Source organism: Homo sapiens, chromosome 8 (assembly GCF_000001405.40).
Source record: "Homo sapiens chromosome 8, GRCh38.p14 Primary Assembly".
Classification (NCBI taxonomy): Eukaryota; Metazoa; Chordata; class Mammalia; order Primates; family Hominidae; genus Homo; species Homo sapiens.
Window position 1 is genome coordinate 98,064,189 of NC_000008.11, and position 18,420 is coordinate 98,082,608.

Sequence of the window (18,420 nt, forward strand, 5' to 3'; positions counted from 1 at the left end):
AGAAAATAAGACTGTCATCGCACATCTAGTCTACCAATCAATAGCCCCTAGTCCCAAGGCCGCCTCGCCTCCCTGGCTATTTAGTGATGAGTCAGATGATACCTCCCAGCGCTTCGCCCTCGCCCCCTGACATCCTCCCTATCCCTGCTTTAGGGGCTTTTCCTCTCTTACTGTGCCATACCCTCCACCGTCTCCCCTCCTGTCTCCTGGGCTCTACTCCTCCCTGCCCTCCTCTGCGTCCTGGCCCTCCCGCTCTCTTCCGCTTTGCGCTCCCAGGCTCCTTCCACCTCCTGCCAGCTCCCTTCCTCCTCCAGGTGCGCACCCCCTACCATTAGCCCCGCTGCGCGCTTGCGCTCTACGCCCAAGGGAGCCGGGCTGCAGAGCTGGAGAAACTTCCGCGGCTACGGGTGCAGTTGCCTTCGGTTCCCGGTTCCGGGCCGACACCCGCGCAGGGCTGAGACAGGTGTCTGCGCTCCCCGCAATGGGCTGCTCCAGCAGCGCCCTCAACAAGGCCGGCGACAGCAGCAGGTTCCCCAGCGGTGAGCAGGGTACCGGCGCCGCCCGCGCCCGGGCTGGGGACTCGGGTGGGCTAACTCCCCAGGAGGTCCAAAGGGTGTGTCCCGTGGCCACCCCGCCTGGCAGGAGCCGGGCCTTGTCCCGGAGGATGCGAGCAGAACCCGGGACAAAGCGCGATTTCCTTCCAAATCTGGAGCGGCGCTGCTGTGACCGCGGGTGCGGCGGCCCTGGTGCGCTCCGCGGCGCTCGCTGCGAGACGCGCGGGGCCCGAGGCCGGGCGCTGGATTCACCCTGTCCGCTGATGGGATCTCGGGGAGTTGGTGTTGAGGCCCTAAGGCGGTTAGCCTCGGCATTGCCTTAAACACAGGAGAAATGTCCTATCAAGGCCTTCTACCAAGGCTGGGGGCGGTGGCTGACGACTGCAATCTCAGCACTTTGGGAGGCTGAGGCGGGACGATCTCTTGAGACCAGAAGTTCGAGAAAAACCTGGGTAACAAAGCGAGATCTTCCGCTCCCCCGTCTCTACTAAAACACCAACAAAAAAGACTTTTCCCCATTTACCCTCCCATTAGCGTTTCAGCATCAAAGATGGCAAAAGATGCGGAGAATCCAGAGGAGCATTCACTCCATCAAATGGGTCCCTGCACTCTGAATAGGTCAGACACACTTTCCCCTATCTTCGGCTTAAGTATCAGTTGAGAAGTATGTGTGATCAAAAGTGGTCATCACTGACTCTTGCTGAAGAAACTCAACAAGGACATTTTGAGCATCTGCTATATAATACCCCAGTGCTTGGCTAGATGCTGGAGATACAAGTGACCCTGTTTGTAGAGATTGAAGATAGAAGAGACAGAAAAGAAACACGTGAAACAATTGGCTAAGATCGTTTCTGACAGTGATAAGTACTGTGAAAAGTATAAACGCAGTTACATGAATTAGAGAATGACAGGGTTTTACAGCCGACTCACTTTTCTTAGATTTTGAATGGCTAAAATTTTGGACAATGCTATGGAGGTTAAGCAAACTCCGTCAAGCTAGTTTACAGTCTTCTGCAAGGCGAACTTTAGCGGGGATTTTGTACTGGAGTGAATTCCTTTTCACAGATTTTCTCTTAGCACCTTGTGTTATTGCAGTAACAGAAATGTCTTCCTCTGATGTTGTTGGTAGAGCGCACCAGACGGTGAGGAATGCTTTTCAAAGCTCAGCCGCTGTGTCCTAGTCAGAAATATGTTGTGTTGCTGTTATTTTTGTGGTGTATGAGAATTTATTTCTAGTTTCCATAGATAACGGAAAGCAATGACAAGTCAGGAAGTAAACAAAAAATTAAAAGCATTATAAAAGTAAACCCCTTCTCACTGACAACAATGTGAAAAGATGGAAAAATTCATTTCTAATGCACAGTGCTCACTAACTTTTCTCCTAAAGAACCCAGAGCTTCCATACCTGCAACAAGAGGACAGAGCAAGGAGTTTCTCCGATGTTTCGATGTTTCGTGTTTTATGTTATGAAATTAAGTAGAGTTTTGCATTCTGTTCTATGATAGATTTTTGTGGGTTTCAATATGAAAAGCCGAGGGAAAACAGATGCTTCAGGAAGATACATTTTATTATTCTGACTTCTCTACCCCATGCTGTGCTTCAGTTATCCTAGGAGTAGCATCCTGGTTTAACAAGCAGAGTACTGAGTCACCATTACATAGTTTTAAACTGATTAAAACATGTATTTCAGGGAATGTAACTTTGGGGCAAAAGTATTCAGTAGGTGGAATGCAGTTTTTAATCCTCTCAGAAAATAATGAATAACTTTATCTTTAAAAATATTTTATCATCAATATTAATAACTATTCCACGTGAGTTACACTCTTCCATTTTTTATTCTTGCTTTCATTGCTGTTCTGAGTTTTCATAGGTGTTGTTATGGAAGAGATGTTAAAATGCCTGACAGCCAGTTCTAGCCCTTAGAAAATTAACCTAATATGCGGCGTAAATTGCTCAACACACACGTTGAATCAATCAACAGGTCTATTTGCTTCTAACCCTCGATCAAACAATACTCTCTTGTAATTAGATACTATTCTGTGTTCATCAACATTTCAGCTTCATGATCTTAGGCCCGATAAATAATTCATTCCTGTTTCTGCACCTTGCAACTTCTTTAAATCCTATATACAACCTCAAGCTTGTGTGTACATACTTTTAGACAAAAACAGTTCAAGTTTATTACATGTCTGGTACATGCATTTATTCACTGTACTCTCAGTGCCTAACAACGCTTGGCATATAATAGGTCCTCAGTAATTATTTGTTGAATGAATTACTTCATTTAATCCTTATAACAATGTTATGACTAAATATTATGGTTGTCCTGTTTTTACAGATAAGAGTAAATAATTTATCCAAGGTCACAGAGCTTCTAAGAATCAGAGCTGGGCTTTGAACTCATATGCTTTGTTGGGCACAGTGGCTCATGCTTATAATCCCAATGGCTCTGGAGGCTGATATGAGAGGATTGCTTGAGGCCAGGAGTTCAAGGCCAGCCTGGGAAACATAGTAAGACCCTGTATCTAAAAATTTTTGTAAAAAAATTAAAACATGTATTTCAGGGAATGTAACTCTTGGTGGTACAGGCCAGTAGTCCCAGCTACTCAGGAGGCTGAGGTGAGAGGATTGCTTGAGCCCAGGAGTTCAAGGCTGCAGTGAAGTATGATTGAGCCATTGCACTTCAGTCTGGGCAACAGAGTGAGACTCAATTAAAAAAAAAAAAAAAGAAACTATATGTTTAAACCAGCTTCTGCTAACTAGATTTAAATCTGTTTTTGCCTCAGATCACTCTGGATCCCCATTAGGTGTGTGGTCACCCACTATCTAAAAACAATGAAATCAATACAATACAATCAACAAATTATACTATGTATCTTTTTTTTTTTTTGAGACGGCATTTCGCTCTTGTTGCCCAGGCTGGAGTGCAATGGCATGATCTCGGCTCACTGCAACCTCGGCCTCCTGGGTTCAAGTGATTCTACTGCCTCAGCTTCCCGAGTAGCTGGGATTACAGGCATGTGCCACCACACTCGGCTAATTTTGTATTTTTAGTAGAGACAGGGTTTCTCCATGTTGGTCGAACTCCCGCCCTCAGGTGATCCACCCGCCTCAGCCTCCCAAAGTACTGGGATTATAGGCATGAGCCACCACGCGTGGCCTATACTATATATATTATTTAGGGATAGAATAATCCCTTATTATGATTCTAAATATTAGTCTAATCCCTAAATAAGATATATAGTATAATGTGTTATACAAATATTATATATTTATTTTATTTTTTATTTAAAAAATTGAGACAGGGTCTTGCTATGTTGCCCAGGCTGGTCTTGAACTTCCAAGCTCAAGTGATCCTCCCACCTCGGCCTCCCAAAGTGCTGGGATTACAGGTATGAGCCACTGTGCCCAGCCTATGTTATAAATTTAAATCAGACAGCAGCTACTAGTAGGTAGACATTAGGTTGCACAGGAATAATCTATTCTACTGATTATGTGGGGACATTTGCCCTGACCCATTAGACACTGAATCTCACGGAGCTGCTTCCTATCACCTCCCAAGATGACTGACCAGATAGGTGTGTGTGTTTGGGAGAACAGAGGTGAAGACTCTGATTGTTAACAATTATTAGTGCTCCTCACAGCGTAGAACAGTGCCTAATATGTGGTAGTCACACATCGATTTTTATGACGTGCCCTGAAATGTGTGAGGAAAGAGACTTTTCATTCCAAAGGATAATTAGACAGATTGAGTTTGGAATTTCTTGTGTTTTTGGAAGCAAGTTTTAAATATTAGGACAATTTCTGTTGTTTTGAGTGTCCTGAGGATCCGATGCAATCTGAACACAAAGGTTTTATTGACTCCACAGACCTTAATGTGCCTGAAGGTGTCTATAGACGTTCACATCCAAACCCTCCTCCCAGTGTTCCTAGCCCTCTGCTAACATGGATAATCACTGCTCGAATCTTTCCTAATATAAATGGGATCTGTTTTGGCAGACTTCTTTCCAAGGTGTTACAGCCCAAGCACCAAACATGGACAAAGTAAATAGGTGGTAATTATTGACAAGTTCATTGCTAGGTTAATGTGTACATTTCCACTGACAGCTATAATCATTTGTTTGTTCTAACCTGAACTTTCACTAGCTGCTTGCTGTCCATGCGGCCTAGGCAATCAGATGAAGCTTGAATTTCACAGTTATGTGAATTGTTCTTTGTACTGCAGTCATACCTTCAGTTTTCACCCAATATTTCACACTCTGACATCTAGTTAGGTCATCTGGTCCTAACTAGACAAAAGTTTTCCTTTTGAATTGAAGAACAAACATCATAAACATTAAATTTAATTTGTATAGGCTTTTCTTGCATATAGAAATTATATAAATGGGATTTTTTTTCTTTCAAATGTGTGCCTTGTGTCATTTCTGGAGCCTGGCACTTAAATAGCATTTGGTATGTCTTTGTGATAGGCCTGGCGATTGCATATGGCTAATTGAAATGGAATAAAAAAACTACATACATGGTTCAAAAATGTGAAAATATTTGGAAAAGGCAGGTCTGAAAAGTATACCTTCCACCCCATCCTCATCATCTATTTAGTTCGAATCACACCTGTGAATACACACTTATTATTTTAGGGTTTTTTTTTTTATATATTCTTTTGAAGTTTATTTATGCATTGCAAATATTATTTCCTTCTCTCATCTTTATTTATAAAATGTAGTGTACTATACCCACCGTTCCTCACTTTGTTTTTTTCACCTAACACTATGGAGATTTTTCCACATTTATATGCAGAGAACTTCTTTCTCCTTTTTTATACCTGCATAATAATATGTTCCTTGATTTATTTAACCAGCCCCCCTATTGAGGGACATTTAATTTGTTTACAGTCTTTCCCTGTTGCAGACAAGACTGCCATGAATTCCTTTGTGCCTACATCATTTTGAATGTGTGCAAGTATATCTGTAGGACAGTTTCCCAGGAGTGGCATTACTAGGTCAAAGGGTGTACGCACTGAAAGTTTTGATAGATAACTGCCTAAATGTGTTCTGTAAGACTTGAAGCAGTTTACACTGTCATCAACAATAAAGTAAATCTTTTTCTAAAACAGAAAACTTTCAGACATTTGTGCAGCCACATCGAAACATACACATGGGACAGAAGTCAGGAGATAAGGAGGGAGCATGCACTTGGTTTCAGGTGCTTTAGTTTGTGATCTTATTTAATCCTCACAATAGCCTTAAAACACAAACATTAATTGCACCAAATACAGCTAGAAAACGAAGCTTAATACAGATAAGTCACTTGCCCTGGTCTCAGAGCTAGTAGGTCTAGTAAGCCTACTTACTAGATGGATGGATGGACCTGGGGCACATGGCTAATGTGTGTGACTCCAAAGCCCCTGTTCTTTTCACAACTTCCAGTTCCATCTGGGATCTGGTCCTAGTTCTGCAAGAAACTTGTAGTGTGGCCTTACACATAGAACATATGCAATCAGCTGAGTGTGGACGCTCGAGCCTGTAATCCCAGCTACTTGGGAGGCCGTAGTGGGAGAATCAGGAGGTCAAGCACCACTGTACTCCAGCCTGGGCAACACAGTGAGACTTCTCTCTAAAGAAAAGAAAAAAGAGGCCGGGCGCAGTGGCTTACCCCTGTAATCCCAGCACTTTGGGAGGCTAAGGTGGGCAGATCACCTGAGGTTGGGAGTTCGAGACCAGCCTGACCAACATGGAGAAACCCCATCTCTACTAAAAATACAAAAAATTAGCCAGGTGTGGTGGCTAATTTTTTACTGGTATGCTGATGCCTGTAATCCCAGCTACTCTGGAGGCTGAGGCAGGAGAATCGCTTGAACCAGTGAGCCAAGATCGCGCCATTGCACTCCAGCCTGGGCAACAAGAGTGAAACTGCATCTCAAAAAAAAAAAAAAAAAAAAAAGAAAAGAAAAGAAAAAGAAAAGAGAATGAAAGAAAAGAAAAAAAAGCAAGCAATAACTGTTGAGTAGATGGATGGGTGAATGGGTGATTGACAGAGACGGGGATTCAGGGAGGTAAGAGTATTACTCAGAAAAGCAGAGGAGGAATCAGAACCTAATGAATACCAGAAACTGAAAGGTAATATTGGCCAAGATGGGCTTAGAAAGAGTGTCGGGTTGTGTATAGAGCCTCCTAGCTATGCAGGAAAAGGTTAGCACTGTAAAACAACGCTTGATTGTCTGCCATTAAATCATGCTTCTGGGCTGAGTGCAGTGGCTCATGCCTGTAATCCCAGCACTGTGGGAGGCCGAGGCAGGTGGATCACCTGAGGTCAGGAGTTCAAGACCAGCCTGGCCAACATGGTGAAACCCCGTCTCTACTAAAAATACAAAAATTTTCTGGACGTGGTGGCAGCTGGTGGTAGCTAGGACCCGTAATCCCAGCTACTCGGGAAGCCGAGGCAGGCGAATTTCTTGAACCTGGGAGGTGGAGGTTGCAGTGGGCAGAGATCACGCCATTGCACTCCAGCTTGGGTGACAAGAGCAAAACTCCCTCTCAAAAAAAAAGAAAAAATCATGCTTCTGTAAGGTGGCCCCACAACCAGCTCATGTGTACAGTTTCACTTCTATGTTAATGTTTTACAATATCAAGTTGAAAGAAACCCTGAATACGTGTGGGGGTTAATGAAAGTCTCACCAAAGCTGATAAAAACTTGATGAGGCTTCTAATCCTAGAGTGTGTGTGAGTAGTACTAGGTAATTTTTTTTTCTTTTTTAGAGACAGGGTCTTGCTCTGTTGCCGAGGCTGGAGTGCAATGGTGCAATCATAGCTCACGGCAGCTTGGACTCCTGGACCCAAATTATCCTTCCACCTCAGCCTCCTAAGGTGCTGGGATTACAGGCATGACCCACTGTGCCCCACTGTAATTTTTTTTTAAAGCAAAGTGCCAGACTATAGCTCTCCAGGTGTGTTTATGTCTTGAAAGTCCTGTAATGACTTCAGAAGCTTCTTCACCCATCTCAGGGCTATTGCTGTTTTTCACAGTCCTTGAACCACTTCTTGGGAATTGCCTTCGGGCTCTCAAGTTCATTCATTGTATATAATCAAGGGTGTCTGAGCTTTGTCCTTTAAGGATGAATATTGAAAAAAACAACAATCCACATTGTTTTTATTTTATTTTTTAAGTTTTATTTTATTTTTTTTTTTTGGTAGAGACTGGTTCTCACTATGCTGCCCAGGCTGGTCTCAAACTCCAGGCTTCAAGCAACCCTAATACCTCAGTCAGCCTCCCAAAGTGCTGGGATTACAGGCATGAACTACCGTGCCCAGCCCCACATGGTTTTTAGCAGCTAAAACCCCCTAGGAATTAAACCTTATGAAGGTGGGTGAAATAAGACAGTCAATGCTGGAGTGCATGATTTAGTACTACCTAAGTTGTTTATATCAGAGTTTCCCAGCCTGTGAGAATGGTTTATAGCCATGCCAGCATTTCTCCTAGCCTTTAGGGCAGCCAGGTGGGATCCTGACAGCCTGAGCCATCTGGAAGCAGCTTCCTCCATTTGTTGAAGTGTGATGCACAAATATCATATTCTGTGTATGTCATGACATTGAAAAGGATCAGGAAGTGTTGGTGGCCGGGTGCAGTGGCTCATGCCTGTGAGCACAGCACTTTGGGAGGCCAAGGCAGGAGGATCACCTGAGGTCAGGAGTTGGAGACCAGCTTGGCCAACATGGTGAAACCCCATCTCTACTAAAAATACAAAATAAATTAGCTAGGCATGGTGGCACACGCTTGTTGTCCCAGCTACTCAGGAGGCTGAGGCGGGAAAATCACTTGAACCTGGGAGGTAGAGGTTGCAGTGAACCGAGGTTGTGCCACTGCACTGCAGCCTGGGTGACAGAGTGAGACTCCATCTAAAAAAAAATTAAATTAAAATTAAAATTAAAAAGGAAGTGTTGGGATGTGCATTCCAGCTGCTCTGTCATTTTCACTAGTAGTTTCTTTTGCTTAGAGATAACATCTGCCTTCAGCCACCCCAGCAAGGACTTTTGTTGAAATGTTCTCCCTAAAACATTCTCTTTGCTTATTTCTTTTCCTCACTGTTAATGATAATTATAATGAACCTTTTGTCTTTTATTTTTTTTCTGTAAGGTGATTTTTGTGTGTGTGCCTGTTTCTGCCTCTTCCCATTTTCTCAAGACTCTGATATAAACCACAGAGTTTCTTTTTTGCTAATTTCCTTTACTTAGTACTTAATCTAAAGGTATAGCACCTGTAGACTAGATGTTATGGGAGGTTCTGGTTACCTGTACACCTTGCATTAATGTATGGGTATGAAGTTCAACATTTCATTTCAACTGAAAGACAGTATAGAGTGCTGATTAAGAATGTGGGCCTGGAGTTAGACTGGGTTCAAATCCTCGTTCAGGATCAGTTATTAGTTGTGTGACTTTGAGCCAGGTACTGACCCTCTCCATGCTGCTTCATCTACAAAATAGGATCAACAATAGTACTTCATAGAGTTGAGGAATAAATAAGTTAATACATATAATGCACTGAGAATATAGTCTGGGCCAGGAACGGTGACTCATGCCTGTAATCCCAGCACTTTGGGAGACTGAGGCAGGAAGCTTGCTCTTTAGGCCAGGAGTTCAAGACCAGCCTAACCAACATAGTGAGACCCTCTCTCTCTCTCTCTCTCTCTCTCTCTCTATATATATATATATATATATATATATGTATATATATATATATATATATATATGTATATATATATATATATATATATATATATGTATATATATATATATATATATATATATATAATTTTTTTTTTTTTGAGGCAGAGTTTTGCTGTGTCGCCCAGGCTGGAGTGCAGTGCTGTGATCTTGGCTTACTGCAACCTCCTTCTCCCGGGTTCAAGTGATTCTCCTGCATCACCGTCCGGAGTAGCTGGGATTACAGACGGGTGCCACCATGCCCGGCTAATTTTTGTATATTTAGTAGAGACAGGGTTTTACCATGTTGGTCAGGCTGGCCTCGAACTCCTGACCTCAGGTGATCCACCCACCTCGGCCTCCCAAAGTGTTGGGATTACAGGTGTGAGCCACTGCACCCAGCTTTTTGTGTTTGTTTAAAATCAAGTTCTAGATCCCTGAGTTTGTTGATTTCCTCACTTTTTAAATTTTTCTCTCTTTTTCTTTTTTTTTTTTTAGAGACAGGGTCTCACTCTGTCACCCAGGCTGGAATGCAGTGGCGCTATCACAACTCACTGAAGCCTCGACCTCCCACCTTAGCCCAGCAGCTGGGACTATAGGCATGCACCACCACACCTGGCTAATTTTTTTTTGTTTTTTGGAGAGTTGACATTTTGCCATGTTGCCCAACCTCGTCCCTAATTGCTGGACTCAAGGTATCCGCCTGCCTCAGCCTCCCAAAGTGCTGGGATTATAGGTGTGAGCCACCTCACCTGGCCTTCCTCACTTTTTAAAAAAGTAAATTTATTTAAAGAAAAATGGTGACAAAAATATTAAGTCAATAATAGCACAAATGGTAAAGAAATATTCAAAAATCATAAAAGTGGTATGCGAATGGCTACAGTTTATGAGACAGTTTTTCTAAGGCTACCAGGTCTTCTTATTTAGCTAGATTACTTGCTCTTATATTTTTGCTTCTATAATTTTTTTATTTTTCATTTTAATTTACTTTTTTTTTTTTTTTGAGACAGGGTCTCACTCTGTCACCCAGGCTGAGTACAGCCTCAACTTCCTGGATTCAAGTGATCCTCCTGCCTCTGCCTCCCGAGTAGCTGAGACTACAGCTGTGCACCACCATACCCAGCTAATATTTTTATTTTTTGTAAAGACAAGGTCTCACTATGTTACCCAGGCTGGTCTCAAACTGCTGGCCTCAAGTGATCCTCCTGCCTTGGCCTCCCTGCTATAATTTTTAAAAATAAATTTTATTTTAGAATAGTTTTAGATTTACAGAAAAATTATGAAGTTGGTACAGAGAGTTCTCATATACTGCACACTCACTTTCCTCTTAACATCTTATGTTAGTAGGATATGTTTGTCACAATTAATGAACCAAATCTGTTACATGATTACTAACTAAAGTCCATGCTTTAGTCAGATGTTCTTAGTTTTTCTCTAATGTCCTGTTTCACTTCCAGCGTCCCATCCAGAATCCCACATTGCATGTAGTCATCATGCCTCCTTCAGCTCCCCTTGGCTAAGAGTTTCTCAGATTGTCCTTGTTTTTGATGACTCTGACAGTTTTGAGGAGCACTGGTTAGGTATTTTGTGGAAGATTCCTCAACTGGAATTTGTCTGGTATTTTTCTCATGATGACACTGGAGTTATGGGTTTTTGGGAGGAAGACCACAGAGATAAACTGCCCTTCTCATCACATCATCTCAAAGGTACATGTGGTTGACTTGACTTCTCACTGCCCCCTAGACTTCTCTAATATTCCTCCTGGAGACTCTGAAGTTTGATGATGGGCGAAAAGGCAGATTTTTATTTTCTGTTCTAATCTTATTGAAATCTTCCAGTTTAATTATGTTCATGATTCTTGGTCAAACCTACTTCCTAAGTTGCAGCTTTTTCTTATGCTTTGCTTTATGAAGAAGCTCGTTCAATTCAGTTTTCAAATGTTTACACCAGGAGGCTTAATGGTGGCCTCAAAGGTGTATCAGGTTGTGAGTGGACAACCTGTGCTTTGTTACAAGTGGCTTTTCATTCTGGAAAAGAAAATCCCCCCTTTGCTTAATGTGATCTATTATGTTTCCTAAGCATGGAACTGAAGTCATCTGAATTGCATGTAGGTGCCTAACCTGAGAGAGTGGTGGCAGCAATCAGTCAGCGGAAAGACCTTAGATCTTTCTCCTCCTGGGTCTCCCCAGTGCTCTCTCTGGTGCCAGTGGCTTTCAGGGTGCACAGAGCCCCCACGCTTGAGGCCCAAATGTCTGGTGTGAATAGGACTGCTCTGTTGTAAAATTTCAGTCTTCCATCCCAGCCACACAGTTGCTAACTGCTAACTCCCATCTCAAGCACACCTGCCTTTTTTTTTTTTTTTTTTTGAGACAGGGTGTTGCTATGTTGCCCAGGCTTGTCTCCTGGGCTCAAGTTATTCACCCATCCAAAGTGCTTGGATTACAGATGTGAGCCACCGTGCCTGGCCACAGACACCTGCTTTTGACCATGGGCCTTTGTACTCTGTACTCAGACAGAGTGAAACATAGACACAGTGACCGAACCTGGCAAGCAGCCACATCACATTGGTGAGGTGGGTCTGTCCACCCCTCTTAGAGTGCAAAGCAGAGCAAGCATTTACGCTTTTTGTGAGATGGAGTCTCTCTCTCTCTGTCACCCAGGCTGGAGTGCAATAGCGCGATCTCAGCTCACTGCAGCTTCTGCCTCCTGAGTTCAAGCGATTCTCCTGCCTCAGCCTCCTGAGTAGCTGGGATTTCAGGCGCCCGCCACCATGCTCAGATAATTTTTGTATTTTTTGTACAGACGGGATTTCACTATGTTGGCCAGGCTGGTCTCGAACTCCTGACCTCAAGTGATTCGCCCACCTTGGCCTCCCAAAGTGCTGGGATTACAGGCATGAGCCACCGTGCCCAGCCGTATTAACCTTAATTTCAGAAGAGAAATTAGAAGGCCTTTTTTTTTTTTTTTTCCTCGTGATCTAGCCAAGGCAGAGGCTTAGCAAACCCAGCTAATTCTGTGAAGTGAAGGAAGCTTGGGAAAAAATCTCACTCCCCAGCGTGGAGCTCACTTAAACCAGCTCAGGCCTTTGATTCATGGCTAAATCAATATCCTTATATTATCTTTCATGCTGACCATGGCATGTTAGTGTGAGGACAGAGACCACACTAAGATAGGCAGCAACGCCTGTGGAGAATGAAGGACATCCCCATCCAGCAATCCTGTATATTCATATAGGATTGTTCAATCTAGTTCAGTCTCTCCAAGTAGCTCCTGTATGCCTTCCCTGGTGACTCCATAGGTAACCTAATCATCTGGGGATCTTGTTAAAATACAGAAGAATCTGGTTAAGATTCTGGGGTGGAGCCCAAGATTCAGCATTGAAAAAAAAAATTCCCAGGTCATGCTGATGGTGCAGGCTCTGGGACCGCAATTTGCTTTTAAAAGCAGCTAAATCTTCAAAGTGGAATCAAACTTCCTTGGGGTTAAGCCTAAGCTGTGCCACTCACTAGCTGTGTGCCCCTCTTAGATAAAGATGCTATAATGGCCGGGTATGGTGGCTCATGCCTGTAATCCCAGCACTTTAAAAGGCCAACGCAGGAGGATCGCTTCAGGCCAGGAGTTTGAGACCAGCCTGGGCAACATAGCGAGGCCCTGTCTCTATTAAAAAAAAAAAAGGATGCTATAATTTCCTCAACTATATAATGGGGATAACAATAGTCCCCCTATGGAGTTGTTGGAAAGATTGAATGAGATAATCCACACAAAGCTCCAGGCTCAGTGCCTCAGTGAATGTCAACCACTGTTCCCCTTCCCAGAGGAGCATGGTGGCAAGTCCTATTTGGGTTGGTGAAGTGTCATTATATATACAGAGACAGACATCATCTTCCTTCCTGTCTCCTTTCCTTGTTCAGTGAGATGGCTTTGATTTTATAAACTGGATTTCTATGCAAATGTTGGATTTCCTTGTGCTAATAATGACCATCCATCAATGAAACTCTCTTTTTTCAGTGATGAATGCTGTCAATAATTTCTAAAGTGATGTTTTGTGCTATCATGTTTTTGAAATAAGAGTTTATCTTATAGGAATCTAAAAGAAATTAAAGAAAATAAAATTGGAAAAGTATATCTGAAGGAAACAACTCTTTGTCATGGTTTGATGACAGACTTGCCTCTGTAGCTCTTAAAGTTCAGCCTCTCCCCTAGGCAGGCGTCCACATCTCCATGTGAGTTCAACAATTGTTCCAAGAGTACCTTTCTAATTACTAATTATGTTCTTGTTTCTCTTTCTCTCTCTCTGTCTCTTTTTCTTTCTGTAGAGATGAGGTCTCACTATGTTGCCCAGGCTCATCTCAAACTCCTGGGCTCAAGCAATCTTCCCACCTCAGCCTGCCAAAGTATTGGGATTACAGGCGTGAGTCACCATGCCTAGCCTATTCTTGTTTCTCTATATTTAAATTTCAACATTAAGTTTATCATCCAACTTCATCGCATTTACTTTGTGATGATCAAAACGAATTCTAGATATGTAAATTCAGGTGCTTTTATTAAAAAAGAAAAGTGGTCTGACTGATTTTTATTTACCCTCAAATCATTTTTTTGGTTGATAATTTTATATGTCAGTTACATGGAATATAGCCTAAGTTCACCTTTCTTCAAAATGAGTGCCCTGTTAGCATCTACCAGCTGATGGAATGCACACTTGGGAATTAGCATTTGTGCCATGGCACAGAAGAGTGTTCGTACATGCTTTGATGTGGGAAAAGGGAAAAAACATCTAGAATAATGCTGCTCCACAAATGTTGATTGGATGGATGGATGAAGGATAGAATGGAATTAAGGCAAAAGCAAAGTAAGAAAATGAGAAGGAAGATGAGTGGACTACTCCTCTGGGGTTGACTCGTGCTACATTCTTGGTTCCAAAACCTCAAAAGCTCCAGGAACCTAGAAATGATGACAGCAAGGAAAAACACCAGGACCCCCTTCCTTACAAATTCGCTCAAAAACCCAGCAGACAGGCCAGTGAAGTCTTTAGGATGTCTGATATGGCATAGTCATAGGAAATATTGACAAGATTTTCTTTTTGTTGGGTAGAAACTTTTCATTTCCGATTAGGGTAATGAACTGAGTTGAAAAGCTTCCATCATAATGTGAATTTCAGGTATGTTAGCTTTAGTTCTAATCCCTTCTGTAATGTTGCCTAGTATTTAGTTTCTTTGTGTGCTTATCACAACGGTGCTTATAACAAGGGTTCTGTTAGTTCAGCTGTCACAATGAATTTGTGCATGGATCAATTTACAACAGAATCAAGGGAGATAATGAGCACCAAAGGATTAGGCTCAGAGCAGTGTATGATTTGATGAAATGTGGAGTTCAGAAAACAGACACATCTTTAAACAAATTCAGATGTGAAAACAACGCATCTGTCTACAATATTTATTATATAATAACGTAGATTAGGCATAGAATGTCTCCTGTTTGTGGACAAAAATATATCTCATTGCTTTTCAAGTTAGCCTGCTAGAAGAAATGATGTAGTACCTTTTTCTACTTTGAGGAGGTATGGTGAGGATTCACAAAATCATACGGACAGAGTGTATAGAAATACTTGGGTAAGAGGTAATGTGTAGCCACCAAGTTGTGCTTAATGAAGGGAGTAGCTATTTGAATTTCCCCGAAGACAGTAAACCCTAGGATACCAGGGACCACATTTTCCTCTTTTTTTTTTTCCTTTTTTTTTTTTTTTTTTTTTTGAGACAGGGTCTCTGTCTGTTGCCCAGGCTGGAATGCAGTGGCGCAATCATGGCTCACTGCATCCTTGACCTCTGGGGCTTAAGCAATCCTCCCACGTCAGCCTCCTGAGTAGCAGGGACTACAGGTGCATGCCACCATGCCCAGCTAATCCAAATCTTGTTACCTGCTAGAACCCCTGTGCCCACCCAGATCTTGCCTGTAGTATGCACTTGATGAAAATGTGATGAATGAGTGAAATCAAAGCCAGCAAACAGAATGAAACATTTATTTATATATAATTTATGAATGGCCTTTATTAACACCAATCAAGTTTAGTTAAATCATTGCTAACATTATAAGTACTTTTATTTATGTATTTATTTATTTTGAGATGAAGTCTCGCTCTTGTTGCTCAGGCTGGAGTGCAGTGGCGCAATCTTGGCTCACTGCAACCTCCGCCTCCTGGGTTCAAGTGATTCTCCTGCCTCGGCCTCCCGAGTAGCTGGGATTACAAGCATCCACCACCAGCCCGGCTAATTTTTTGTATTTTTAGTAGAGACGGGGTTTCACCATGTTGGCCAGTCTGGTCTCGAACTCCTGACCTCGGGTGATCCACCTGCCTTAGCCTCCCAAAGTGCTGGGATTACAGGGTGAGCTACCGTGCCCGGCCTACTTTTCCATTATTTATCAATAATCATGTTTTAAACTGTACCATGATAACAATACAACTTTGTAGGTCAACACTGACAACTTCATAGTGTTTAGGAGACTGTGTATCTAAGCCCTTTAATGTTGCAAGTTAGCTTTTCTGTTGCTAATTTAGCTATAATTTATTGACAGGTCACTCCTGGTACTCAAGGGAACTTTGTACAATTAGAAAGAGGCCTTCCCCACCAACATCACATGCACCCTTGCAGATGCACCAAGGCTGCATGCAGTTCTGCCCCGTGCAGTGAGAAGCTTGTACAGCTGTGCGCTGTGTCCCTGTTTAGTGTGGCTACCTTTTCATGTCAGATACCATGCTGGGCAAATTACACACATTATCCACTCTGTCAATTCTAACAAGCCTGAAAGGCAAACAATACCCACATGTTATGGATAAGGAAACAGATCCAGAGAGGTTAGGAACTAACTTGTCCAGATTGCACAGGTAAGTAAATGGTGGAGTCAGGATTCACACCCAGTGCTAGAACAGTCTCAATGCTCTGCTTTAGGCTAGAGGGAAGGGAGGGAGATCAAACACATTAAAAAATGAACTTCCTTCAGCAGCGCAAGAGTAAGAATAAGCTGAGGGTTATGTAATCTGGAGCCAGAAAGGAAGTTTGAGTGGTAATTGTAGACTTTATTGTGTTCTCTGAGAGATGGTTCAAAACAACTATTTGTTTTCCAATCTTTCATTTCTTCTTCTCCTTCTCCTTCTTCTCCTTCACCTTCTTCTCCTTCTCCTTCTTCTTCTCCTTCACCTTCTTCTCCTTCTCCTTCTTCTTCTCCTCCTTCTCCTTCTCCTTCTTCTTCTTCTTCTCCCCCTCCCGTCCCCCCTCCCCCTCCCTCTCCTTCTCCTTCTTCCTCTGTTGCCCAGGCTGGAGTGCACTGGCATGATCTTGGCTCACTACAACCTCTGCCTCCCAGGTTTAGGCAATTCTCCAGCCTCAGTCTTCCGAGTAGCTGAGATTACAGGCACTCGCCACCATGGCCAGCTAATTTTTTAATTTTTTTAGAAGAGATGGGGTTTCACCATGTTGGCCAGGCTGGTCGAACTCTTGACCTCAAGTGATTTGCCCGCCTCGGCCTCCCAAAGTGCTGGGATTACAGGCGTGAGCCACTGTGCCCAGCCTAATCTTTCTTCTATCACAGAAATGTACCAATATTGGAATGAATGAAATCACCTTACTTTTCTGTTTGTACATCATAATTTCTTTCTCTCTCTCTCTCTCTCTCTTTTTTTCTTTTTTCTTGAAACAGGGTCTTGCTCTGTCTCCCAGGCTGGAGTGCAGTGGCACAATCATGGCTCACTGTGATCTGAACCTCCTGGGCTCAAGCTATCCTCCCATCTCGGCCTCCTGAGTAGCTGGAACTACAGGCCTGCACCACCATACCCAGCTAATTTTTAAATTTTTTGGTAGAGACAGGTTTCGCCATGTTGTCCAGGCAGGTCTCGAATTTCTGGGCTCAAGTGATCCACCTGCCTTGGCCTCCCACAGTGCTGAGATTACAAGTGTGAGCCACCACACCCAGACACTGTGCACCTAATTTCACCCTTGTTTGGGCCACTACGGGAGGTATAACAATAGTGATGCTAAGATTGACAAGATTAGTGGGTGCTAGTCTCTGTACTAGTTCTTTCTGAGTATTATCTCATGTAATCCTCATGTCAGTTCCCTGGTTCAGTAATAACACTATTCCCACTTTACAGGTGATGAAACTGAGGCAGAGAGAGGCTAGTAAGTGCAGGAACTGGAGTTATAATCCACTACACTGGCCGGGTGCTGTGGCTTACGCCTGTAACCCCAGCACTTTGGGAGGCCAAGGCGAGCAGATCACGTGAGGTCGGGAGTTCAAGACCAGCCTGAACAACATGGAGAAACCCCCATCTCTACTAAAAATACAAAATTAGCCAGGCATGGTGGTGCATGCCTGTAATCCCAGCTACTCAGGAGGCGGAGGCAGGAGAATTGCTTGTACCCAGGAGGCGGAGGTTGCAGTGAGCTGAGATTGCACCATTGCACTCCAGCCTGGGCAACAAGAATGAAACTTCGTCTAAAAAAAAAAAAAAAATTCCCCTATACTGTAGGTCTATAGGTGTCCTTTTCAAGGTCATAAAGTGTCTGTCCTCTTAGAGCAGATTTGTCTCTTCTATCACATAGGGAAAAGAACTTCTGAGCTATTCCTTGAGAGCTACTGCCTCTGAAATACAGCCATTTCAAAATTTAGAGTGCAATTAATCAATATAAATTACGAAGTAAATGTGGCCCTGCCCTTCTAGCATTTTCCCTATTTTGTGTGTGTATGGTCATTTTAAAGGTATTATATGTCCTTTGGGCTACCACAAAAAAAATATTAAAAGACAATGACATTCTTTTGTAAAGTTGCCCAACTTGGTTGACTATTTTCAGGTTGTGTTTTATAAAAGTATACGCTGTGGACACTTGCCTACTTCCAGTGTACCAGTAAAATTGGGAAAGTTACATAAGAACTGGCTGGGCACGGTGGCTCCTGCCTGTAATCCCAACACTTCAGGAGGTGGAGGTGGGTGGATCACCTGAGGTCGGGAGTTCGAGACCAGCCTGACCAACATGGAGAAACCCCATCTCTCCTAAAAATACAAAATTAGCCAGGTGTGGTGGCGCATGCCTATAGTCCCAGCTACTCAGGAGGCTGAGGCAGGGGACTCGCTTGAACCTGGGAGGCAGAGATTGCAGTGAGCCAAGATCACACCATTG

At 43.1% G+C, this 18,420-nt stretch overlaps 1 protein-coding gene across 2 annotated transcripts in view, besides 3 other annotated features; it reads left to right on the forward strand.

Moving 5' to 3' along the window:
• The window catches only part of ERICH5 (glutamate rich 5), a 29,042-nt gene continuing 11,001 nt past the window's right edge, over positions 380-18,420 (forward strand). For both annotated transcript variants that reach the window (NM_173549.3, NM_001170806.2), the window contains exon 1: positions 380-539. In NM_173549.3, the coding sequence (NP_775820.2) occupies positions 482-539 (58 nt within the window). In that variant the 5' untranslated portion in view covers positions 380-481. The remainder of the gene's footprint in view (positions 540-18,420) is intronic.
• Positions 421-520: a silencer, noted in NCBI's record as "silent region_19393". NCBI's record gives its function as "represses an Ori minimal core promoter by ATAC-STARR-seq in GM12878 lymphoblastoid cells {active_cell/tissue: GM12878}" and the evidence as "EXISTENCE:reporter gene assay evidence [ECO:0000049][PMID:35858748]".
• Positions 761-820: an enhancer, noted in NCBI's record as "active region_27675". NCBI's record gives its function as "activates an Ori minimal core promoter by ATAC-STARR-seq in GM12878 lymphoblastoid cells {active_cell/tissue: GM12878}" and the evidence as "EXISTENCE:reporter gene assay evidence [ECO:0000049][PMID:35858748]".
• Positions 6,579-6,688: a silencer, noted in NCBI's record as "silent region_19394". NCBI's record gives its function as "represses an Ori minimal core promoter by ATAC-STARR-seq in GM12878 lymphoblastoid cells {active_cell/tissue: GM12878}" and the evidence as "EXISTENCE:reporter gene assay evidence [ECO:0000049][PMID:35858748]".